General features: G+C 51.6%; 2 protein-coding genes across 6 annotated transcripts in view, besides 4 other annotated features; one reads left to right on the forward strand and one right to left on the reverse strand.

The window, feature by feature from the left end:
- The window catches only part of LOC124900839 (uncharacterized), a 32,909-nt gene extending 16,862 nt beyond the window's left edge, over window positions 1-16,047 (reverse strand). The window contains exon 1 of the mRNA XM_047416543.1: window positions 15,849-16,047. The gene's annotated coding sequence lies outside the window, so the exon portion shown is untranslated. The remainder of the gene's footprint in view (window positions 1-15,848) is intronic.
- On the forward strand, window positions 10,687-18,097 carry NICOL1 (NELL2 interacting cell ontogeny regulator 1). Of its 5 annotated transcripts, none has more exons than XM_011513469.4 (5): window positions 10,687-10,794; window positions 14,130-14,225; window positions 16,460-16,617; window positions 16,869-16,957; window positions 17,994-18,097. In XM_011513469.4, exons 1-5 carry the CDS (start codon window positions 10,748-10,750, stop codon window positions 18,057-18,059), a joined length of 456 nt encoding a protein of 151 aa, XP_011511771.1. In that variant the 5' UTR covers window positions 10,687-10,747; the 3' UTR covers window positions 18,060-18,097. The 5 variants fall into 5 exon arrangements, with proteins under 5 accessions (XP_011511771.1, XP_011511773.1, XP_016863679.1 ...); XM_017008190.2 differs by lacking the exon at window positions 10,687-10,794 and adding an exon at window positions 11,278-11,316; XM_011513471.3 differs by lacking the exons at window positions 16,460-16,617; window positions 16,869-16,957; window positions 17,994-18,097 and adding exons at window positions 14,997-15,053; window positions 15,886-16,039.
- Window positions 15,267-15,768: an enhancer, noted in NCBI's record as "H3K4me1 hESC enhancer chr4:2042861-2043362 (GRCh37/hg19 assembly coordinates)". NCBI's record gives its function as "activates a minimal SCP1, AML or CMV promoter by ChIP-STARR-seq in naive H9 embryonic stem cells {active_cell/tissue: H9 hESC(naive)}" and the evidence as "EXISTENCE:reporter gene assay evidence [ECO:0000049][PMID:30033119]".
- Window positions 16,167-16,266: a silencer, noted in NCBI's record as "silent region_15153". NCBI's record gives its function as "represses an Ori minimal core promoter by ATAC-STARR-seq in GM12878 lymphoblastoid cells {active_cell/tissue: GM12878}" and the evidence as "EXISTENCE:reporter gene assay evidence [ECO:0000049][PMID:35858748]".
- Window positions 16,307-16,366: a silencer, noted in NCBI's record as "silent region_15154". NCBI's record gives its function as "represses an Ori minimal core promoter by ATAC-STARR-seq in GM12878 lymphoblastoid cells {active_cell/tissue: GM12878}" and the evidence as "EXISTENCE:reporter gene assay evidence [ECO:0000049][PMID:35858748]".
- Window positions 16,507-16,716: a silencer, noted in NCBI's record as "silent region_15155". NCBI's record gives its function as "represses an Ori minimal core promoter by ATAC-STARR-seq in GM12878 lymphoblastoid cells {active_cell/tissue: GM12878}" and the evidence as "EXISTENCE:reporter gene assay evidence [ECO:0000049][PMID:35858748]".
- Window positions 18,098-23,691: the final 5,594 nt, after the last annotated feature.

Below are 23,691 nucleotides of genomic sequence, written 5' to 3' on the forward strand. Positions count from 1 at the left end.
ACCATTCTGGGGTCTGGAGGTTGGTGACCTTCTTCTCACAGCTCCACTAGGCAGTGCCACAGTGGGAACTCTGTGTGGGGACTCCAACCCCACATTTCACCTCCACACTGCTCTAGTAGAGGTTCTGCATGAGGGCTCTGCCCCTGCAGCAGACTTCTGCCTGGACATCCAGGTGTTTCTGTACATCCCCTGATATCTAGGTGGAGGCTCCCAGGCCTCAACTCTTGCCCTCTATACACCTGCAGGTTTAACACCACATGGAAACATTGGTGGCTTCTGGCTTGCACTCTCTGGAGCAGCAGCCTGAGATGTATCTTGGCCCATTTTAGCCACAGCTGGGGCTGGAGTGGCTGGGACGCAGGGTGCTGTGTCCTGAGGTTGCACAGAGCAGTGGGGCCCCGGGCATGGCCGACAAAACCATTTTTCCCTTCTAGGCCTCCAGACCTGTGATGGGAGGGGCTGTCATAAGTATCTCTAAATGCTTTGGAGACATATTCTCTATTTTCTTGACTATTAACATTCGGCTCCTCTTATGCAAATTTTTGCAGCAGGCTTGCTTTAATTCCTCCCCCAGAAAATGGGTTTTTCTTTTCTTTCACATGGTCAGGCTGCAAATTTTCCAAACTTTTATGCTCTGCTTCCCTTTTTTTCTTTTTCTTTTATTTTAGGTTCTGGGGTACATGTGCAGGATGTGCATGTTTGTTACATAAGTAAATGTGTGCCGTGATGGTTTGCTGCACCTATCAATCCATCATCTAGGTATTAAGCCCAGCATGCATTAGCTATTTTTCCTGATGCTCTCCCCCCTCTCCTCCCCCAGCAGGCCCCAGTGTGTGTTTTTCCCCTTTCCATGTCCCTGTGTTCTCATTGTTTGGCTCCCACTTATAAGTGAGAACATGTGGTGTTTGGTTTTTGTTCCTGCGTTAGTTTGCTGAGGATAATGGCTTCCAGCTTCATCCACATCCCTGCATATGACATGATCTCATTCCTTTTTATGACTGCATAGTATTTCACGGTGTACATATACCACATTTTCTTTATCAAGTCTATCATTGATGGGCATTTGGGTTGATTCCATGTCTTTGCTATTGTGAATAGTGCTGCAATGAACATACACATGCATGTATCTTTATAATAGAATGATTTATATTCCTTTGGGTATATACCCAGTAATGGGATTGCTGGGTCAAATGGTATTTCCCATTCTAAATCTTTGAGGAATCGCCATACTGTCTTCCACAATGGTTGAACTAATTTACATTCCAACCAACAGTGTAAAAAGTGTTCCCATTTCTCTGCAACCTTGCCAGCGTCTGTTGTTTGTTGACTTTTTAATAATCGCCATTCTGACTAGCATGAAATGGTATCTCATTGTGGTTTTGATTTGCATTTCTCTGATGATCAGTGATGTTGAGTTTTTTTCATGTTTGTTGGCTGCGTGTATGTCTTCTTTTGAGAATTGTCTGTTCATGTCCTTTGCCCACTTTTTAATGGGTTTTTTTTTTCTTGTAAATTTGCTTAAGTTCCTTGTAGATTCTGGATATTAGACTTTCGTCAGACTGATAGATTGCAAAATTTTTCTCCCATTCTGTAGATTGTCTGTTTGCTCTGATGATAGTTTCTTTTGCTGTGCAGAAGTGCTTTAGTTTGATTAGATCCCATTTGTCAATTTTTCCTTTTGCTGCAATTGCTTTTGGCGATTTCATCATAAAATCTTTGCCCATGCCTATGTCCTGAATGGTATTGCCTAGATTTCCTTCTAGGGTTTTTATAGTTTGGGTCTTACATTTGAGTCTTAAATCCATCTTGAGTTAATTTTTATATAAGGTGTAAGGAAGGGTCCAGTTTCAATTTCTGCATATGTCTACCCAGTTCTCCCAGCACCATTTATTAAATAGGGAATCCTTTCCCCATTGCTTATTTCTGTCAGGTTTGTCAAAGATCAGATGGTTGTAGATGTGCAGTTTTATTTCTGAGTTTTCTATTCTGTTCCATTGGTCTGTGTGCCTGTTTTTGTACCAGTACCGTGCTGTTTTGGTTACTGTAGCCTTGTAGAATAGTTTGAAGTCGGGTAGTGTGATGCCTCCAGCTTTGTTCTCTTTGCTTAGAATTGTCCTGGCTATACAAGCTCTTTTACGGTTCCACATGAATTTTTAAAAATAGTTATTTCTAATTCTGTGAGCAATGTCATTGGTAGTTTAATGGGAATAGCATTAAATATATAAATTGCTTTGGGCAGTATGGCCATTTTCATGATATTGATTCTTCCTATCCATGAACATAAAATGTTTTTACATCTGTTTGTGTCCTCTCTGATTTCCTTGGGCAGTGGTTTGTAGTTCTCCTTGAAGAGGTCCTTCACATCCCTTGTTAGCTGTATTCCTACATATTTTATTATCTTTGAGGCAATTGTAAATGGAAACTCATTCATGATTTGGCTCTCTGCTTGTCTGTTGTTGGTGTATAAGAATGCTTGTGATTTATGCACATTGATTTTGTATCTTGAGACTTTGCTGAAGTTGTTCATCAGCTTAAGAAGCTTTTGAGCTGAATCAGTGGGGTTTTCTAGATATAGGATCATGTCATCTGCAAAGAAAGACAATTTGACTTCCTCTCTTTCTATGTGAATATGCTTTATTTCTTCTCTTGCCTGATTGCCCTGGCCAGAACTTCCAATACTATGTTGAATAAGAGTGATGAGAGAGGGCATCCTTTTCTTGTGCCAGTTTTCAAGGGGAATGCTTCCAGCTTTTGCCCATTCAGTATGATATTGGCTGTGGGTTTGTCATAAACAGCTCTTATTATTTTGAGGTATGTTCCTTCAATACCAAGTTTATTACATTTTTTACATGAAGGGATGTTGAATTTTATTGAAGGCCTTTTCTGTATCTATTGAGATAATAATGTGATTTTTGTCTTTAGTTCTGTTTATGTGATGAATTACATTTATTGACTTGTGTACGTTGAACCAGCTTTGCACCCCGGAGATGAAGCTGACTTGATCGTGGTGGATAAGCTTTTTGATGTGTTCCTAGATTCGGTTTGCCAGTATTTTATTGAGGGTATTTGCATTGATGTTCATCAAGGATGTTGTCCTGAAGTTTTCTTTTTTTGTTGTATCTTTGCCAGGTTTTGGTTTCAGTATGATGCTGGCCCCATAAAATTAGTTAGGGAGGAGTCCCTCCTTTCCATTGTTTGGAATAGTTTCAGAAAAAATGGTACCAGCTCCTCTTTGTACCTCTGGTAGAATTCAGCTGTGAATCCACCTGGTCCTGGGCTTTTTTGGTTGGTAGACTATTTATGTATTTATTTGAGATGGAGTTTCACCCTTGTCGCCCAGGCTGGAGTGCAATGGCTCGATCTCGGCTCACTGCAACCTCTGCCTCCCAGGTTCAAGCAATTCTCCTGCCTCAGCCTCCCAAGTATCTGGGATTACAGGCACCCGCCACCATGCCCAGCTAATTTTTGTGTTTTTGGTAGAGATGGGGTTTTACCATGTTGACCAGGCTGGTCTGGAACTCCTGACCTCAGGTAATCTGCCTGCCTCAGCCTCCCAAAGTGCTGGGATTACAGGTGTGAGGCACTGTGCCCGGCCAGCAGCGTATTTATTACTACCTCAATTTTGGAACTTGTTATTGGTGTATTCAGGGATTCAATTTCTTCCTGGTTCAGTCTTGGGAGGGTATATGTGTTAGGAATTTATCCACTTCTTCTAGATTTTATAGTTTATTTGCATAGAGGTGTTGATAGTATTCTCTGATGGTTGTTTGTATTTCTGTGGGGTCAGTGGTATCACCCCTTATCATTTCTGATTGTGTTTACTTGAATCTTCTCTCTTTTCTTCTTTATTAGTCTAGCTAGCAGTCTATTTTATTGATTAAAGAAACCCAGCTCCTGGATTCATTGATATTTTGAAGGGTTTTCCGTGTCTCTGTCTCCTTCAGTTCCATTCTGAGCTTGGTTATTTCTTGTCTTCTGCTAGCTCTGAGGTTTGTTTTGTACCTAGGAATACAGCTAACAAGGGATGTGAAGGACCTCTTCAAGGAGAACTACAAACCACTGCTCAAGGAAATCAGAGAGGACACAAACAGATGTAAAAACATTTTATGTTCATGGATAGGAAGAATCAATATCATGAAAATGGCCATACTGCCCAAAGCAACTTATATATTTAATGCTCTTGGTTCTTTAGTTCTTCTAGTTGTGATGTTAGTATGTTGATATGAAATCTTTCTCGGTTTTTGATGTGGCAATTTAGTGCCATAACTTTCCCTCCTAACATTGCTTTAGCTGTATCCCAGAGATTCTGGTAAGTTGTCTCTTTGTTCTCATTAGTTTCAAAGAACTTCTTGATTTTTGCTTTAATTTCATTATTTGCCCAGAAGTCATTCAGGAGCAGGTTGTTCAGTTTCCATGTAGTGGCATGGTTTTGAGGGAATTTCTTAATCTTGAGCTCTAATTTGATTACGTTATGGTCTGAGAGACTGTTATGATTTCCTTTCTTTTGCATTTGCTGAGGGGTATTTTACTTCCAGTTATATGATCAATTATATGATCAATTTATGATCAATTTTAGAGTAAGTGCCATGTGGCACCAGGAAAAATGTACATTCTGTTTTTTGGGGGGTGGAGAGTTCTGTAGGTATCTACCAGGTCCATTGGATTCAGAGCTGAGTTCAAGTCCTGAATATCTTTGTTAATTTTCTGTCTTGATGAACTGTCTAATATTGACAGTGAGGTATTAAAGTGTTCTACTATTATTGTGTGAGTGTCTAATTGTCTTTATAGGTCTTTAAGAATGTATTGCCAGGTGCGGTGGCTCACGCCTGTAATCCCAGCACTTTGGGAGGCCGAGGTGGGTGGATCATGAAGTCAAGAGATCAAGACCATCCTGGCCAATATGGTGAAACCCTGTCTCTACTAAAAATACAAAAATTAGCTGGGCGTGGTGATGCGCACCTGTAGTCCCAGCTACTCGGGAGGCTGAGGCAGGAGAATTGCTTGAGTCCGGAAGGCAGAGCTTGCAGTGAGCCAAGATTGCGCCACTGCACTTCAGCCTGGGTGACAGAGCAAGACTCTGTCTCAAAAACAAAAAACAAACAAACAAAAAAAACACACAAAAAAACAAAAAACTGTGTTTTATGAATCTGGGTGCTCCTGTATTGGGTGCATATATATTTAGAATAGTTAGGTCTTCTTGTTGAATTGAACCCTTTACCATTATGTAATGCCCTTCTTGGCCTTTTTTGACCTGTGTTGGTTTAAAGTCTATTTTGTCAGAAATTAGGATTGCAACTCCTGCTTTTTCCTGCTTTCCATTTGCTTGGTAAATATTCTTCCATCCCTTTATTTCTAGCCTATGTGTGTCTTTGTATATGAGTTGTGACTCCTGAATACAGCACACTGATGGATCTTGTCTTTTTGTCTAGCTTCCCATTCTGTGTCTTTTAATTGGGGCATTTAGCCCATTTACATTTAAGGTTAATATTGGTATGTGTGGGTTTGATCCTGTCATCATGATGCTGGCTAGTTAATTTTGCAGACTTGTTAATGTAGTTGCTTCATAGTGTCATTGGTCTGTGTACTTCAGTGTGTTTTTATAGTGGCTTGTAATAGTTTTTCCTTTCCATGTTCAGTGCTTCCTTCAGGAGTTCTTGCAAGGCAGGCCTGGTGGAGATGAAATCCCTCAGCATTTGATTGTCTGAAAAGGATTTTATATCTCCTTCACCTACGAAGCTTAGTTTGGCCGGATTTGAAATCCTGGGTTGGAAATTCTTTTTTTTTTTTTTGAGATGGAGTCTCGCTCTGTAGCCCAGGCTGGAGTGCAGTGGCATGATCTCGGCTCACTGCAACCTCTGCCTCCTGAGTCCCGGTTCAACCAGTTCTCCTGCCTCAGCCTCCCAGGCAGCTGGGATTACAGGCACGCACCACCCTGTCCAGCTAATTTTTGTATTTTTAGTAGAGACAGGGTTTCACCATGTTGGCCATGCTGTTCTTGAACTCCTGACCTTGTGATCCACCCACCTTGGCCTCCCAAAGTGCTGGGATTACAGGTGTGAGCTACTGCACCTGGCCTGGAAATTCTTTAAGAACGTTGAATATTGGCCAGGCGCGGTGGCTCACAGCACTTTGGGAGGCCATGGTGGGTGGATCACGAGGTCAGGAGATCAAGATCATCTTGGCCAACATGGTGAAACCCCATCTCTACTAAAATACAAAAAATTATCCGGCCGTGGTGGCATGTGCCTATAATCTCAGCTACTTGAGAGGCTTGTAGTGAGCTGAGATTGCGCCACTGCACTCCAGCCAGGCGACAGAGCAAGACTCCGTCTCAAAAAAAAAAAAAAAAAGAATGTTGAATATTGGCCCCCAATCTCTTCTGGCTTGTAGGGTTTCCACTGAGATGTCCACTGTTAGTCTGATGGGCTTCCCTTTGTAGGTGACCTGGCCTTTCTCTCTGGCTGCCCTTAACATTTTTTACTTCATTTTAACCTTAGAGAATCTGATGATTATGTGCCTTAGGGTTGACCTTCTCATGGAGTATCTTATTGGAGTTCTCTGGATTTCCTGGATTTGAACGTTGGCCTGTCCTGCTAAGTTGGGGAAGTTCTCCTGGAGGATAACCTGAAGTGTGTTTTCCAACTTGGCTCCATTCTCCCCGTCTCTTTCAGGTACTCCAATCAGTTGTAGGTTCAATCTTTTTACATAGTCCAATAGTTCTCGGAGGTTTTGTTCATTCCTTTTCATTATTTTTTCTCTAATCTTGTCTGCCTGCCTTATTTCAGCAAGACAGTCTTCAAGCTCTGATATTCTTTCTTCTGTTTGGTTGATTTGGCTGTTGATACTTGTGTTTGCATCATGAAGTTCTTGTGCTGTATTTTTCAGCTCCGTCGGGTCATTTATGTTTCTCTCTAAACTGGTTATTCCAGTTAACACCATCTGTAATGTTTTATCGTGGTTCTTAGCTTCTTTGCATTGGGTTAAAACATAATCCTTTAGCTCAGTGAAGTATATTATTACCCACTTTCTGAAGCGTACTTCTGTCAGTTCATCCATCTCAGCTTCAGCCCACTCCTGTGCCCTTGCCGGAGAGGTGTTTTGATCATTTGAAGGAGAAGAGGCATTCTGGCTTTTGGAATTTTCAGCATTTTTGCGTTGGTTTTTCCTCATTGTGGATTTATCTACCTTTCCTCTTTGAGGCTGTTGACCTTTAGATGGGGTTTTTGTGGGGTCTTTTTTGTTGATGTTGTTGTTGTTGCTTTCTGTTTGTTTTTCTTTTATTTTCTTTTTTTTCGTTTTTTTTGAGATGGAGTCTCGCTCTGTCACCCAGGCTGGAGTGCAGTGGCGCGATCTTGGCTCCCTCACTGCAACATCCACCTTCCAGGTTCAAGCGATTCTCCTGCAGCCTCCCAAGTAGCTGGAACTACAGGCGCCCACCACCACGCCTGGCTAATTTTTGTATTTTTAGTAGAGACAGGGTTTCACCATATTGGCCAGGCTGGTCTCGAACTCCTGACCTTGTGATCCACCCTCCTCAGCCTCCCAAAGTGCTGGGATTACAGGCGTGAGCCACTGCGCCTGGCTGTTTTTCTTTTAACAGTCAGGCCCCTCTTCTGCAGGTCGGCTGCAATTTGCTGGAGGTCCACTCCATACCCTGTTTGCCTGGGTATCACCAGTGAAGGCTGCAGAACAGCAAAGATTGCTGCCTGCTCCTTCCTCTGGAAGCTTTGTCTCAGAGGGGCACCGACCTGATGCCAGCTGCAGCTCTCCTGAATGAAGTGTCTGGTGGCCCCTGTTGGGAGGTCTCACCCAGTCAGGAGGCATGTGATCAGGGACCTGCTTAAGGAAGCAGTCTGGCTGCCCCTTACCAGTGTGGGTGCACTGCGCTGGGGGGAATGCCCCCTCATCCAGGTCACTGGGACTCTTGGGAGCCAGCAAGCAGGAAAGATTAAGTCTGTCCAACCTGAGACTGCGGCCACCACTCTCCCCAGGTGCTCTGACCTGGGGAGATGAAAGTTCTGTCCGTAAACCCCTGGCTGGAGTTGCTGGAACTCCTGCAGGGAGGCACTGCTCGGGTGAGAAGGGATGGGTCTGGTTCCCAGTTAAAGAGGCAGTCTGGCCACAATCTGCCACAGCTGCTGTGCTGCGCTGTGGGGAATTCTGCCCAGTCCAAACCTCACAATCTCCCTAGCACTGGCCAGGGAAAACTGCCTCCCAGGTTCAAATGACTCTCCTCCCTCAGCCTCTCGAGTATCCAGGATTACAGGCATGCATCACCACACCTGGCTAATTTTTTTTTCTATTTTTAGTAGAGATAGGGTTTTACTGTGTTAGCTAGGCTGGTCTCGAACTCCTGAACTCATGATCCACCCACCTCAGCCTCCCAAAGTGCTGGGATTACAAGTGTGAGCCACCACGCCTGGCCTTGTAAGCCCATCTGTTCTGCCCATTTACTTTCCTCAGGAGTACAGTAGGGTGCTGCTGGCATGGGTGCAGTACCTGGCATTAGTCCGTGGCCTGGAGCACTGGTGTTCTTCACCTGTGGCCTTGGCTGTCCTGTCCATCAGGGCATTTCCTCCGGGATGATAGAGGTGTCCCCCTTTTGGTGTCCCCTGCAGTGAGTAACTGCCACCTCCTTTGGGAGCTGGACAGCATCTACAATTCCAAGATCTCAGAGCAATGCTGTGTGGGGGATTCCTTAGCTGTTAGCGCTCCCTTTTCTTTCCATATGGCGTCATGAGCGTGGAGCACCAGGCACCCATATTTGGAATCGGTAAATATGTTGACTCTTAAGTCTTTTCTCAGTTGGAGGACCCTGATTAGACCAATTAATTCCACTTTTTGAGCAGATGTCTGGGGAGGTCAAGCTTTGGCCTCAATGCCTTCTTCTCGGCTAACTACTGCATAACCGATCTTTCTTTCTCCCTTATGAATAAAACCACTTTCATCTCTGAGCCACTCAACATCGGGGTTATGCAGGGGCTCAAGGGCTCATCTTTGAGGTCAGGCCTGCTAGAGGAGGTCTGTTCTATGGTTTCCACACAGGAGTGAATGAGTTGGGGATCTGTTTCCTGGGACACGAAGTCCAGCAACAAGGGAGAAGAGTTTAAAACTCGACATACTTTAAGGGTAACATCTGGGGTGTCATGCAGAAGGGTCTGATATTTCAGTAACAAGCCCCTCGTTAGCTATTGGTGTCCCTTTGCCTCTAGGACTCTCTATACTTCATGGGGGGGATCACGACATCTGATGGTTGTCCCAAGGTAAACTTACTGGCTTCTGTCAATAGAGTGGTGGCGACTACAGCTCGCAAGTATCCTGGCCACTCAGCCACCACCTGGTCTAGTTTAGAAAAGTAAGCCACTGGTATAGGGTCATTCCTGAGCCTCTGGTTTAGGATGCCCAAAGCTACCCTTTGTTTTTCAGCCAAGGTGAAAGGGTGGAGCTGGACAGCATCTAAAAGTTCATCTAAAGGGTGAAAAGTTTTTCTTTTTCTTTTTTTTTTTTTTTTGAGACGGAGTCTTGCTCTGTCTCCCAGGCTTGAGTGCAGTGGCGCGATCTCGGCTCACTGCAAACTCCACCTCCCGGGTTCACACCATTCTCCTGCCTCAGCCTCCCAAGTAGCTGGGACTACAGGCGCCCACCACCGCGTGCGGCTAATTTTTTGTATTTTTAGTAGAGACGGGGTTTCACTGTGTTAGCCAGGATGGTCTCGATCTCCTGACCTTGTGATCCGCCCGCCTCGGCCTCCCAAAGTGCTGAGATTACAAGCGTGAGCCACCGCGCCCGGCCTAAAGGGTGAAAAGTTTTTCTATGTTTGGGAGTCCCAAAGTAGGGGCTGTTCCCAGCTTTTCTTCTAATGTTAGGAATACCTGTTGGCAGGTTCCATCCCAATTTAAAGGCTCATGATCACGTCCTTTCAGAGCTTCATAAAGTAGTTCTGCTGTGAGCCCAAACCCAGTAGAATCCAGCCATTCCCCCAAAGGCCTGTTTCTTAGTCTGAGGGGACTGGAGTGCCAGGATGGCCTCTTTTCACTCCTGAGTCAAAGTCCTGTCCCAGGAGTGGGCACATACCCCAAATACTTAGCCTTCTGTACAGAGATCTGGGCATTGCTAGGGATACCTGATGCCCTCGTTTTTCCAGAAAATTAAGGGGCTGGATTGTGTTCCTGTCAGAGACTTCCCTAGAAGGGCTGGGAATTAATAGGTCATCACATATTACAAAAGGGACCCATAGTTAACGGTAGCTCCTTTAACTCTTTTGCCAGAGATGGGGATTGTCTCTAAAACCTTGAGAAAGGACGGTTCAGTTAAGCTAAGAGGCGGCATGAGTGTCTGGATCAGTTCATTCAAAAGCAAAAATATACTGGGAGTCCAGGTGTAAAGGTATACACAAGAAAACATCCTTAATTAGGCATTAAGTCTAATACTGTGAACCAATGAGCATCTTTAGGGACTTGGCTCCATATTGTGTAAGGATTAGGAACTATTGGGAGGATTGAGGTAACTGCCTAAGAGTCTGAGCTGACACTGATGTCAGCTCCCCCAGCTGCCATCAGGAACTCCTTGCTATATGAGCTGGGTGACAAGTCAGTCCAAAGTCTGAGTTACAGCCGACCCAACTGGCCAGACGTGGGTGCGACTTCCCACTCCACCTGACAAAAGCAGTAAAATCTTGTGTCTGGTGCTTAGATGAGCTGGTTCAGTGTTGACGGAAGCTGAAGACAGACGGAAGCTCCACTACAACATGTTCAGGGCGGCCCTCGAGGACAGCGTGGAGAAGAAATCCTCCCTGTGGGTATAACTCGGATCAGTTAGCTTGCTTGTCTGCTTCACGTAGAGGCAGAAGAGTCATGAAATAAGAATATATATGGAGTCGTGGGTGGGGCTGTTTGGCTGGTTGATGAGAACCCGGAAGGAGCAAGTTTGGAAGAATGGGGAGACACGGCTATGGGGAGTGAGTGTGTGGACGAACAACAGGAACAGGCAGAGTGGGAGGGCTGTCACATTGCACATTCATGCTCCGGTGTCCTCCACAGGGGAGGCACTGGATGACCACGTTGATGGCTGATATGGTTTGGTTCTATGTCGCCACTCAAATCTCGTGTGGAGCTCTGATCCCCAGTGTTGGAGGAGGGGCCTGGTGGGAGGGATTGGATCACGGAGGCCGACTTCCCCTTTGCTGTTCTCATGATAGTGAATGAGTTCTCACGAGATCTTGTTTAAATGTGTGTAGCACTTCCCCCTTTGCTGTCTTCCTCCTGCTCTGCCATATGAAGAAGGTGCTTGCTTGCCCTTTGCCCTTCTGCCATGATTGTAAGTTTCCTGAAGCTCCCCAACCATGCTTATGTATATCCTGCAGAACTGTGAGTCAAGGAAACCCTTTCTTCATAAATTACCCCGTCTTAGCAGAGATGGGGTTTTGCCATGTTGGTCAGGCCGGTCTCGAACTCCTGCCTCCAGTGATCAACCTGCCTCGGCCTCCCAAAGTGCCGGGATTGCAGGCTTGAGCCACTGCGCTCAGCCAATACACTTCTAAATAACTTCTTAATCAAGGAAGAATCACAGTAAAATTAGAAAGCATTCTGAACTAAATTAAGATGAGAACTCATCAATATTTGTGTGATGCATTGAAAACATTAAATGCTTAGATTAGAATATAAGAAAGGGATCTTCTAGAAGTGTTTCTTCATATGAAAAAATAAATAAAAATAGTTAATCGGGAAATAACTTGACTTCTTCTAATATCTCAGTTTTCATAAATCATCTAGGTGAATTGTTAAAAATAAATTAGGTAAATGTAAATAGGATAAACATTTATAAATTAACTTTTCATGTAATTTGAAATCTTAAAGTTATGTTATGATAAATTAAATGATATTCATAAATGTCTGGTTCATTTCCAAATAAGATAAAAAATTGAAACAAATTGCTGAACATACATATGTTTGTTCTTGGTTTCCTAAATTTCATAAAAGACTACATATATTTAGGTCTATTAATACACATAAAAATTATGTTATGCATTCTTTTGATACATAAGTTTTCAGCATTTTTACATTTATAATTATATTACACTATAAATTTTACCACAAATACTATTTTGCCCTTATATTGCAAGTTTTCTAGGATGCTATTTTTGTTATTGTTCTAATTGTAAATATTTTATAATTTCCCTTGTGATTTATTTGACCTATGTGTTATTAAATTTGTGCATTTAAATTTCCAAACATATGGAAGTTTTCACTTATATTTTTGTTATTATAAGTAATAATTACATTGATTTGTAGTTAAAAAAATGATCTGTATGATTATTTGACATGTTTAAATTATTTGACATGTTTAAAGCCTTTATTAAGTGATCAGTGTGTATATATATATATATATATATATATATATATATATATATATATATATAAAATTAAAATTTTTTTTCTGGAGACAGGATCTCACTCTGTTGCCCAGGCTGGAGTGCAGTGGCACGACCATGACTCACTGCAGCCTCGAACTCCTAGGCTAAAGGGATCCTCCTGCCTCAGCCTCCCAACTAGATGGGATTACAGGCATGCACCACCACATTCAGATACTTTTTAAAATCTTCAAATCTTTTGTAGAGTTAGGGTCTTGCTATGTTGTCCAAGCTGGTTTTAAACTCCTGGCCTCAAGTGATCCTCCCGTCTCTTATAAGCACAAGCCACTGTGCCTGGCCTAATTTTTTTAAAATTAAACATTCTGCATATACTTAAACAGAATGTATTCTGAGGATACAGTGTTCAATATATGTACTCAATTAGATAATGTTTTGTGAAGCATTCAAATCTATATCCTTACCAACTCATTTCCTGTTTGAATAATTATCAGAAAAAGCACGTTAAAATATTACACTATAATATTGAGATTAATTATTTCTTCTGTACTTCTGTCAATGCCGCTTTCAATATTTTGAAGCTTTGTTATTTAGTGTCTTGCTATATCACAACCCCTTTTGACATCAGTACCTAGAACTGGGTTAAAATGTTTGCCTGGATTAGGGTTAGTTTTCAATGAAAAATCCTCAGCTCTGTCAACGATCTTTTCATCACCTGGGAGTTTATATCAACATACAGTTTTGGTATCAAAATCAAAGAAAGCATTAAATAAGCGAAATGTGTGAATAACACAAGTGAGATTTGTGCAAATTCATTTTTTTTAAATGATGGTGAGCGTTGTGCTTGTCCTCTTGTTGGATTCACGAAATAGAGTCACTATCAAAAGAATACATTATGGCTGAACTCGGTGGCTCATGCCTGTAGTCCCAGTACTTCGGGAGGCCAAGGCGGGTGGATCGCTTAAGGTCAGGAGTTCAAGACCAGCCTGGCCAACATGGTGACACCCCATGTCTACTAAAAATACAAAAATCAGCTGGGTGTGGGGGCAGGCACCTGTAATCCCAGCTACTTGGGAGGCTGAGGCAGGAGAATCGCTTGAACCCAGGAGGCAGAGGTTGCAGTGAGCCAAGATTGCACCACTGTACTCTAGCCTGGGCGACAGAGCAAGATTGCGTCTCAAAAAAAAACAAAAAACAAAAAAAAATTACAGAGAGACCTGTCTCTAAAAATTACAAAATGGTTCTCACCTATAAAATATTGACATGTGATAGTTCAAAATTGCTTGCTAGAAATTAAAATTACTAAGAGTTAAACTTAGGCCAGGTGCAGTGGCTCACGCCTGGATTCCCAGCACTTTGGGAGGCAGAGGCAGGTGGATCACTTGGGGTCAGGAGTTCGAGACCAGCCTGCCCAACATGGCAAACCCTGTCTCTACCAAAGAAAAAAATACAAAAATTAGCCGGGTGTGGTGGCACGCACCTGTAGTCCCAGCTACTGGGGAGGCTGAGACAGGAGAATCACTTGAACCCGGGAGGTGGAGGTCGCAGTGAGCCTAGATCATGCCACTGCACTCCAGACTGGGTAACAGAGTAAGACTCTGTTTCAAAAAAAGAGTTAAACTTCTAATTAATATATATAATTCTGTATATAAAGTGCACCAAAAAGATGTGTTTTATGAGAAAAATTATAAGAAAGGCACAAATATGTGTTATTTATTGAGAAAAAGGAATAATTTTAAGGTTATTTCAAATATGGATTTAGGAAGGAAACAGAAACAACATCCAAAGGAACCAGCAAGTATGACAGAGAGAGAGAGACAGAGATGAAGACAGTCATGGGAATGAAGATGCATTTTTGGTAAGAAATATACATATATATATATATTTTTTGAGATGGAGTCTCACTCTGTGGCCCAGGCTGGAGTGCAGTGGTGTGATCTCAGCTCACTGCAACCTCTGCCTCCTGGGTTCAAATGATTCTCCTGCCTCAGCCTCCCCAGTAGCTGGGATTACAGGCGCGTGCCACCATACCCGGCTAATTTTTGTATTTTTAGTAGACACGGGGTTTCGCCATGTTGGCCAGGCTGGTCTTGAACTCCTGACCCCAGGTGATCCACCGGCCTTGGCCTCCCAAAGTGCTGGGATTAGATTGTCCGTGGGCGCGACTGTCCGTGGGCGCTAGGGGCAGGGGTGATAGGAGCAGGTCGCGAGCGGGCGCAGCGTGGGACCGAAGGGGAGAAGGACGCCTGCGGCCCGGCGCGTCCCCGGAGGCACGTCCCCCCCAGGGCTCCGCGGCCCCGGCAACAGCGCGGGGCTACCCCTCTACGGCTCCCGCCCCACTGGGGGACCGCGACGGCCTGCTCCCGGGCTCTTGGCTCCGAGTGGAGAAGAGCGCGGAAGTGCGCACTAGCCCGACACTCGGGAGGGCCGCTGCCTCCCCAGGCGCCTGGGACAGCGGCCCGCAGCCCCCACCCGGCCCCTCGGGCCCCGCGTGCGTTTCAGCGCGCTGAGGATGCAGCACACCCCCGAGGTGCGACCGGGTCCCCGAAGCCCGGCGTCGGCCCAACCCGGAGGAGGCAGCGGCAGTCACGGGCACGCTTCCCCAACCCACCCTCCCACCCACTCTTAGGGTCAGGACACCCGCGTCCGGCCGGGGCAGGGGCGGCTCTGACCACGCGAGAAGCAGGTGCGTCCGCAGTCCCAGCTTGTGCCGGGAAGACCACCGGCCAGAACCCCGGGGGTTGGGGGTAGAGGTCGGCTAGGCTGGGGAGGGGGGCGCCCGAGGCTCCGGGTCCTGCACGGCGAGCGGGGCGGCCTCCAGGTAGGGGTGCGGCTCCGCCCACCAAGAAGAGGGTCTGGCGGGAGGTGTGGTTAGTCCCTGAGCTCCCGGCCACAGCGCGGGCTGCTGGGTGGGGTGGGGGGGGAGCGGGGGCGCCAGCACCCACGTGCGCCTGGGGCGCCTTCTGAGGAGGCCACCGCCTGTGTCGGTGTCGGCGTGGGGGCCTGGCTCCGACGGCTGGGACCATCCCTCCCAGGGCGTCCGGGGCCCAGATTCGCACTTGCCGGGCGCCCCCGGGGGCCACTGGCTGCACGGCGCTCTTTAAGGCCAACAGCCCTGAGTTCACGGGACTGAAATCGGCACAGAGAGGCCGAGGACCTGTGGTCGGGGCTCCGCGCAAGCGGTTCTCCGGTCTCCGAGGACACCGAGAGGCGGAGAGGAGGACCCTGGGTTGGGGGTGGGTAGCCGGGAGGGACCGAGCAGGCTGGTGCCCACCCTGACGCCCGAGGATCGGGGAGAGGCTGGGCCAGGGAAAAGCCGGGCGAGGGCGGATCCCCCGAGCCGATCCCCCAGACCAGCTCTCTCCGGGCGGTGCGACCCCACACTGGACCCCACTCGCCCGCGGTCGGAGGCCAAGCGTTTGCATGCGCAGCTCCCCGCGCCTCGCGAGCATCGAGCAGCTCCCTCAGGATCGCTCCTGACCTGCTGAGCTCCAGCCACAGATTTCCCACTTCCTCAGCTTTTCTCCCGCCGGCCTTGCGCTCTGGAGGTCTCGCCCCGGCGCCGCCTCCTCCAGGCAGTCCTCTAGACTGCATCCGCCATGGGCCTGGACGCTGCTCCCGGGGGCAGCCCCCGGCCAGGGCCAGGCACACCCGATTCCTGGAGCGTCCTAGGTTCCTCTAAACCCGCGGCCAGCGCAGTCTCGGGTTTCCATGACGACGACGTCGGATGGGGAACCCGGGCGGGGTCGGGTCGGAGCGCATGCGCGTTGCGCGCCGGACGCGGAACGTCTGCCGGTGTCCCCGCGCTGCTGGTCCCGGGGTCCCTGAACCGCGGTAAGGGCGGTGGTGCGGGCGTCCGAATGGGCGTTTTCTAGATACGGGGCGCGGACTAGAGGCTCGCTGGGCCCGGAGACCGGCGGACTGGAGTCGGGGAACCGGAGGTGGGGAGGGGGCTCCCGGGCCCGGGGTGGGTGGGTCCAGGGCTCCCAGGCCTGGGGCTTGGACAAGGGTCGTGGGGCCCGCGGGAGGGGACGGGGGCTCACCGGCCCGGGGCGGGCGGGGCGGGCGCCGCTGACCCCTCGCTGGCTTCAGGGCGGCCCCGCTCCCTCTGCTGGCCATGGCCCCCCCGCCCGCGTGCCGGTCCCCGATGTCACCGCCGCCGCCGCCGCTGCTGCTGCTGCTGCTGAGTCTGGCGCTGCTGGGCGCCCGGGCCCGCGCCGAGCCCGCCGGGAGTGCCGTCCCCGCGCAGAGTAGGTGCCGGGGGCCGGGTTCCGGGGAGCGGGGCGGGGCTGGCGACAGGGGCGTGCGGGGCCGGGGCTCTGCGGGGAGGACCGCGCCTCGCCTTTGTTCCCGGGAGCGGGTCCTCCCCTTCGCGGGAGATGGTGGCTTGGGGAGTGGGGACGTGCGCTCTTTGGCACTGGGTGGACGGGCCCAGAGTGCGTGGGGGCCTTGCGGGTGACCCCCCCTGCGCCCCCTCCACCCTGACCCGCGCCCCCCGCAGGCCGCCCATGCGTGGACTGCCACGCCTTCGAGTTCATGCAGCGCGCCCTGCAGGACCTGCGGAAGACAGCCTGCAGCCTGGACGCGCGGGTGAGCGCCCGCGGCGCGACGGTCCTCCCGGGCTTCCCAGGGGGTGGGGAGGGCAGGGAGGATGAGGAAGAGGCCCCCTGCGGGAGTGGAGTGTCCCTCATCCTTCACCCCGATTTAAGATGCCGCACCTTGCCCCCTTCCTCTGGCTCCAGTCATCCAAGGGGCATTCTGGGCACCTGTCTCACCTATGAGACGCCCCTCTCTCCAGCATACTCTATTTCTAGCCCCTCCCCCAGAAGGCTCTCACTGGGCACTTTGTCCTATGACCGCCACTCCTGAGGGCTGTGACAGATCTGGACCCTGGGGAAGGACTGTCAGCCCAATCCAGGATCCCCTAGGTGGGCGGCAAGGCCCCAGGGCAGAGGAGAAACTGAGGCCGGAGGATGTGGCGAAAGTGTCAGGAATGGGGGGTCAGGCTGGGCAGGGTGGTCTGGATCCTGGGTGGATGCACAGGTTGGTTAAGGCCCCTCCAAGCCTGGATGAACAGGGAGCCCCCACGCCATGGGGTGCAGCCAAGGAGTTTTTGTTTGTGCCGGGGCTCAAGCTTCTTCCTGGAAAGGGAGAATTCTAGGAAGGAGAAAGCAGGGAAGACCCTGCCTGGTCCCACCCCCCACCAGCCCTAGTGTCCTTCTTGGGAACACTCCAGAGGGCTCCGACTAAGACCTGGAGCCCTCTCCCCACTCACAGAGCCTGGAACTGAGCTCTTGGGAGGAGCAGCCCCCACCTATCCTTAGGCATGAGGGTGGCAGGGAGTGGGGGACAGTGGACCCCTGCGGGTGGTGTGGGAGCTGGAAGAAGGCAGGTGGGCACGCTGGCATGGCGTGGGCACCAGCAGACCCCAGGCAGGCCCCACCAGTGGGAGCCACTGCAGAGGAAAGAGATGAGTGGGAGGCTCTGGGTGTGGGGGTTAGAGCCAGGGCCTGACCTTGTCTGTCTCAGGAGCCGGTGGAGATAGGGCTGCCTTGGGTGGGTGGAGGCCCAGGGGAATGCCAGTGGGCAGCTGGGCTGCACCCTCACCCCTCTTGTTGCTTTGCAGACGGAGACCCTACTGCTGCAGGCAGAGCGCCGTGCCCTGTGTGCCTGCTGGCCAGCGGGGCACTGAGGACCACGCTGCTCCGTGTGAATAAATGCCCAGTGGCACGCCTGTGTCCTGTCTCTCTGTTCTGGCCACCAGAGCCCCTGCGTCGCCCCCGGCAGTCCTGGGTTGGGCCCCTCTCTGGGCTTGGGTTTCCCCAGCTGTTCCAGCTGGGCGAGCCCTCTTGGCTGCTGTCCCATACCAGTGCCCGTGCGGAGAGGTGGACACACACGTCCGACCTCAGTGACCTGTGCTTCCTCGTACCTGCTCCCCTGCCTGCCTCCCCTTGTTTTGAGGCTGGGGAAGTGTAGAAATCGGCCTGACCCCCCTGAGCCCCCAGAGCAGCTGCCCCAGGGCTGAGCCCCTCCAGGCTCCTGCACCACTGAACTGGTGGACCAGCTGCCTGAGACTGTGGGAGACAGAGGGTCCCGGGGAGAGAGGGCAGGGCCACCCCACACAGCATCATCTCCCCTGCCAGCTCCCACCTGCAGCCCTGAGCCTGGACCCTGGTCACTGGGGAGCTCTGGATGGGAACTTGATGAGGCCGTACTGCCATCCACACACCTGTGCACACAGCACCCAGGTGACCTCCAGCTGAAGCGGGCACCTCCCTCTTTTCATTCATTCTGTAAATGCTTTTTCAGTAAAATTAGAGCCTTTTATCAAAGTAATGCAGGAACATGGTTAGGAACAAATCCAGGTGAACAGCAGGCTGGAGGTGACTGCCAGGTGCCCTAGGTGGGACTTGGCCTCTGGGGCTTTGGTTCCCTGGCCCTGGGGCCCCAAGCCCTGCCCTGCCTCGGGCGGGTGGAGCTGGACGTGCCTGGTATCCACAGTGAACAGAGTCCTCCCTTGGAGCTGGCACACGTGGAGAGACTGAGTCAGGTGTCCAGCCGGGAGGATGTCTGCGCCCTCTAATGCAGGCCAGGGAGAGCAGGGGCCTGAGGTCACTGCAGGCCCAGGCAGGGTGGGGTGTGGGGCAGGAACCAGTGCCGGCCACCAGCACCTGCTCAGAGGCTGGGAGGCTGGGCCATGTCTTTGGGGGCATGGCCTGGGTGGTGCTCATGTCCCATTGGTCAGCCTTCCTCACGCCTTTCTAGCTGCAAGGGAGGCCAGGAACATAGCCCTATTTCTAGGCTTATATTGACAGATTTAGGCAATCAAGTCCAGGAACAGCCAGATTCCTGTTTATCCCTGCAGTGTTAGGGATTCCTCACACTAAATATTGTTTATCCAAAATTCAAATATAACTCAGTGTCCTGTGTTATGGGCAGCTGTGTGCCCTGGCACAGGGTGAGGTCTCCATTACTATAAAAGATGGGGTCTGGGGCACACTCGTCACACACGCCCTGGGGAGGTGCCCTCTGGGATTCAGTGGGGGCAGGAGCCAGGCTTGGCTGTGGGACACTGGGTGGAGAGGCCTCCCCCTAGGCCTTGCGGGGCTGGGGCAAGGACAAGGTTTGGTAACGGGAGCTTCTGGCTGCCGGTAGGGAAGGGACTTGCGGGGCTTGTGAGGAGGTGACGGCAGACTGAGAAGGACAGCAGCCCCACGGCAGCAGAGGGTAAGAGGCCGCTGGATTCCGGGTGTGTTTGCAGGTAGAGCCTGTGGGATTTGGGTGGGGGGTGGGAGTGGTCATGGGGGTCCGGGAGGCCACTGGGGAGGTACGCCTGTAAAAGGAGCTGGAGAGAGAAGTCTGGGATCCCCTGTGGCCTGTTTGGGGGCAGAGGAGAGAAGAGGGCCCCTAGGGGTGACGAGCAGCTGTGAAGCAGGAAGAGAACTGAGCTGCGTCCCGGGCAGCCACAGCTGTGTCTCATGCCACCAAGGCCAAGCAAGGCAAGAGGACCACAGGGTCCATGAAGAGCGGGGAAGGCCTCGGAGGAGCAGAGCGGAGGGAGCCTGGCCACAAGCGTGGGCAGGGCCAGTGGCATTCACACTCAGTCCTGGAGCCATGGCGCAGCTTTCCTGCCAGGGGCTCAGCAACTCAGGGATGAGTCAACCCTGGCATGGCCGAGCAGTGACCTGGCACTGCAGTCTCTTTCTGGGACACCTTTTCTTTTCCTGGACCTGCTATTTCCCTGATCTTCCCTGCATTCCGCCCTTATGTCTGTAGCTTCTCCAGTGTCAGGGCATCCCCTTGGTCCAGGGCCTCTCCCTGTGTTCCCTGTGGGCCCTGCCTTCCTCCCTGACCGCTGGGTATCCCCACTGCCCACCTGCACTCCAGCCCAGAGCCGCCTTTCTCTGGATCCTATGTCCTCTTCTCCCTGCTGCCATGTAGAAAAGCGTGTGGGAGGGACACTGTGTCTGCTTGTCTGGAAGGCGGCTGCTGCCACAGTCCATCTGCAGGTCACCCTTCCTACCGCAGGGCCTGTGCATGTGCCCTCTGCAGGGACGCATCCCTTGCCCTGGGACCGGCCTCACTCTGCAGCCCTGTGTCCCTCCTTAAATAGTTTATTTTTAAGAGAGGGCCTTGCTCTGTCGCCCAGGCTGGAATGCAGTGGCCTCATCACAGCTCCCTGCAGCCTCAACCTCCCAGGCTCAAGCAATCCTCCTCACTGGGCCTCCTGAGTAGTGGGGCCCACAGTGCCGGTACCAGCCCACAGAGCCCAGAGCCTGTAGCTGGGTCCCCAGCGCACGCCGACACACCCAGCCCCGCATTTTCTTCTAAGCGTTTGTCCCTGAGGGGTCCCGGGGTGTTTGTTTCTTTCCTCCCTGCCACCCCACACTGGATTGTGAAGCCCAGGAGGGTGAGATCTGCTCTTCCCAGGCGCCCCTGCAGGCCGCGCGCTCCCCCAGTGGAAGCTGCAGGGAGGCTGCCTGGGCCAGGGCTCTGGGAGGAGCTGGCTACAGGGGTCCCCCGCAGCCCCTCCCTTCCTGCTCTGGGGGTCTTTGGGACGCAGGGCTGCATGGGGTGTGGTTTTGGGCCATCTTCCCATGGAAGATGCGGGGTAGGGCGAGCCTGGGGCCTTGGGCGCCTTTCTGCCACTCCCACCTCCCGGCCTCCTGTGGAGCCCCGTTAGGCGCCCTGTGGGCCTGGGGACCGTTTTGCTTTTCCTCCTTCTTCCTCTGGCCTCCCGGTCTGTAGTTCCACTTCATAAGAGACCTCGGCCCGCCCCCCGCCCCGTCTCACCCGCAGCTCCGTTCCACCCCGCCCTGCTCCCTCCCACCGTGGCCAGACCCGCGCCGTCCTGGGGTTCCCCTGGGCTGCTCGGCGGCTCCCCGCGCCCCTGTTCTTCCTCCCCACGGACTCGGGCTCGGGGCGTTCGCGGCGGGATAGGAGCGCCCCGACGGCGTTGGAGGAGACCCCGCAAGTCCGGCCTGGGCGTGGGCTCGCGGGTCCCCGCTCTGCCGTGGGTGGGGCTGCACTGCCCACGTCCGCTGCGTTGGGTGTGCCCTCCTCGAACCTGAGTATCCAAGCGGCGGAGGCCCGGGCGCCTCTCAGCTTGGCATCTGAAATCCGGACGGTCTCGGCCGCTCCGCTCCCAGGAAGGCGAGGCCTGCATGGGCCAGGCGGGGCGCGGGGGCAACTGGGGCAGGGGCAGGGGTCTCCGGTGAGGAGGGCGCTCAGGGAAGCAGGAGACAGAGGCGGAGGTGGGCGGCCAGGGAGGACCGACAGGTCTGGGTTTCCGCTCTTGCCCCACAGGCTGACCTGACCGAGCCTCAGTTTCCTCCTCTGTAAAATGGGCCCTTGGCGACAGCCTGGGGCTGATATAGGCGCTCTGCTGCTGGCGCTGGGAGCACCGTGTGGCCTACGGGGTTCTCCCCTTGTCGTGGGGAGGGGCTCTAGGCCCCCCAGCCCCCACCCAGAGCAAGTACCATGGTCTCCCAGACCTTCCAGGCTGCTTCCTGGAGCCCAGCCCTGACCCTTCCAAGCTGACGGTGTTCTGGTGCCTTCCAGGTACCTATGAACCCGGGGCTGGAGCACAGGCCTCAGCTGACCATCAGGGCTACTGGGGGTCACATGGCCACGGGCTTTGGGTGACTTGTAGGGGCTGGAGGGTGAGGCCAGGCAGGCTGGTGGGAGGGAGTCTGCAGATGGAGACTGGAAGGGCCACCAAGGCGTGCTGAGCAGGCCTCTGTCTCTGGGCCTGGCTGCTGGGGCCGAGCAGTGGCAGGCTCAGGCTGAGGCTGTGGGGATGAGGTGGAGAGGGCAGGGGCCGGCAGAGGCTGTGGCCCTGTAAGGGCTGGACCGCTCTCCTCAGAGGTCACTCAGGCCTTGGGGTCTGGGTGGGGACACTGCTCAGGAGCTCCTGGACAGTGACCATGGCTTCTCCCCTCTCCTGGCCCCCATCAGAAGCATGACAGCCTGTTCCCCCAGTCTCTGCTCTGGAGCCCCAGGCCCCCATTCAAAGCCCAGCCTCATCTTCCTCCAGCCCCCTGGCTCTCCAGGCGCGCCAGCCCCTCACTTGCCTCCACTGCCTGGTTTTTCCTGCCCGGACCCCTTGCGTGCTGATCCCTCTGCTGGGACGCCCTTCCTGCCGTCCACGTGGCCGACCTTAGGACGACACTGCGGAGCTGCCCCTGTGGCTGGGCAGGGACCCTGGTCAGCACTTGAGCGTCGGGTGCAGGGGTTGTTGAATGGATCAGCGAGTTCCTTCGAGATTGTCCATGACCCACGTTGCCTCCCTGGAAGGCGTGAACCTAAAGGGTTGCCCTGACCCTGTGCCCCGGCGCCGCAGTCCTCAAACCTGGCTCCGGTAAACTCTCCACTTCACATTAATTTTGCCTCAGTTTTTTCCCTTTAGGTCAACATATCTGGCATAAGTCAGCAGGCTTCAGTGACCCTCTTCCCTGACCACCTGGGGCTCCTTCCAGGACTTGGGGGTGGTATGAGCAGGAACCCACCATGCTCCCCTCACTCCAGAGGTTTCCTGGGTGCACAGGGGTGAGTCCTCCTGAATTCAGAGCTTTGTTTTCTTTTTGGTTGACATCTAGATTTTATTTGGAGTGTTTTTTAAACCTGCTTTTAACAGAAAGAGGGCTTCAGTCTCTGTCTTTGGACAGGGGACTCAGATAAACAGAGAACTCCGCCTTCTCTGCCACTGCCTCAGGGCAACGGGTTTAGGGCCTGGTATGGGCACCAGTCTGGCACTGGTGGTTTCACATCTTTGGGCCTAAAGTTACACAGCAAGCTTTAAAAATTGCAACTGCTGGGCTGGGCGCGGTGGCTCATGCGTGTAATCTCAGCACTTTGAGAGGCCAAAGTGGATGAATCACCTGAGGTCAGGAGTTCAAGACCAGCCTAGCCAATATGGCGAAACCCCATCTCTACCCAAAATAAAAAAATTAGCTAGGCACAGTGGCACGCACCTGTAATTCCAGCTGCTCGGGAGGCTGAGACATGAGAATCGCTTCAACTCAGGAGGCAGAAGTTGCAGTGAGCCAAGATGGTGCCATCGCACTCTAGCCCGGGCAACACAGCGAGACTCTGTCTCAAAATAATAATAATAATAATAATAATAATAATAATAACAACAACAACAATTTCAACTGCTCCCCGTTGCCTGTAGTTCAGACTTGTCTTTTCATTTGGGGCCAGTTCCTGTCTGTCCTATGTGGGAAGGTGCATGAGGGTGAGTTGCCTCACCCCAAAGAGAAGAGTCGGTTGCTGTCTGCGACCCATGCAGGTGCTCTGGGCAACCAGAGACTTGGCAGAGATGT

Source organism: Homo sapiens, chromosome 4 (genome assembly GCF_000001405.40).
Source record: "Homo sapiens chromosome 4, GRCh38.p14 Primary Assembly".
NCBI classification, from domain to species: domain Eukaryota; kingdom Metazoa; phylum Chordata; class Mammalia; order Primates; family Hominidae; genus Homo; species Homo sapiens.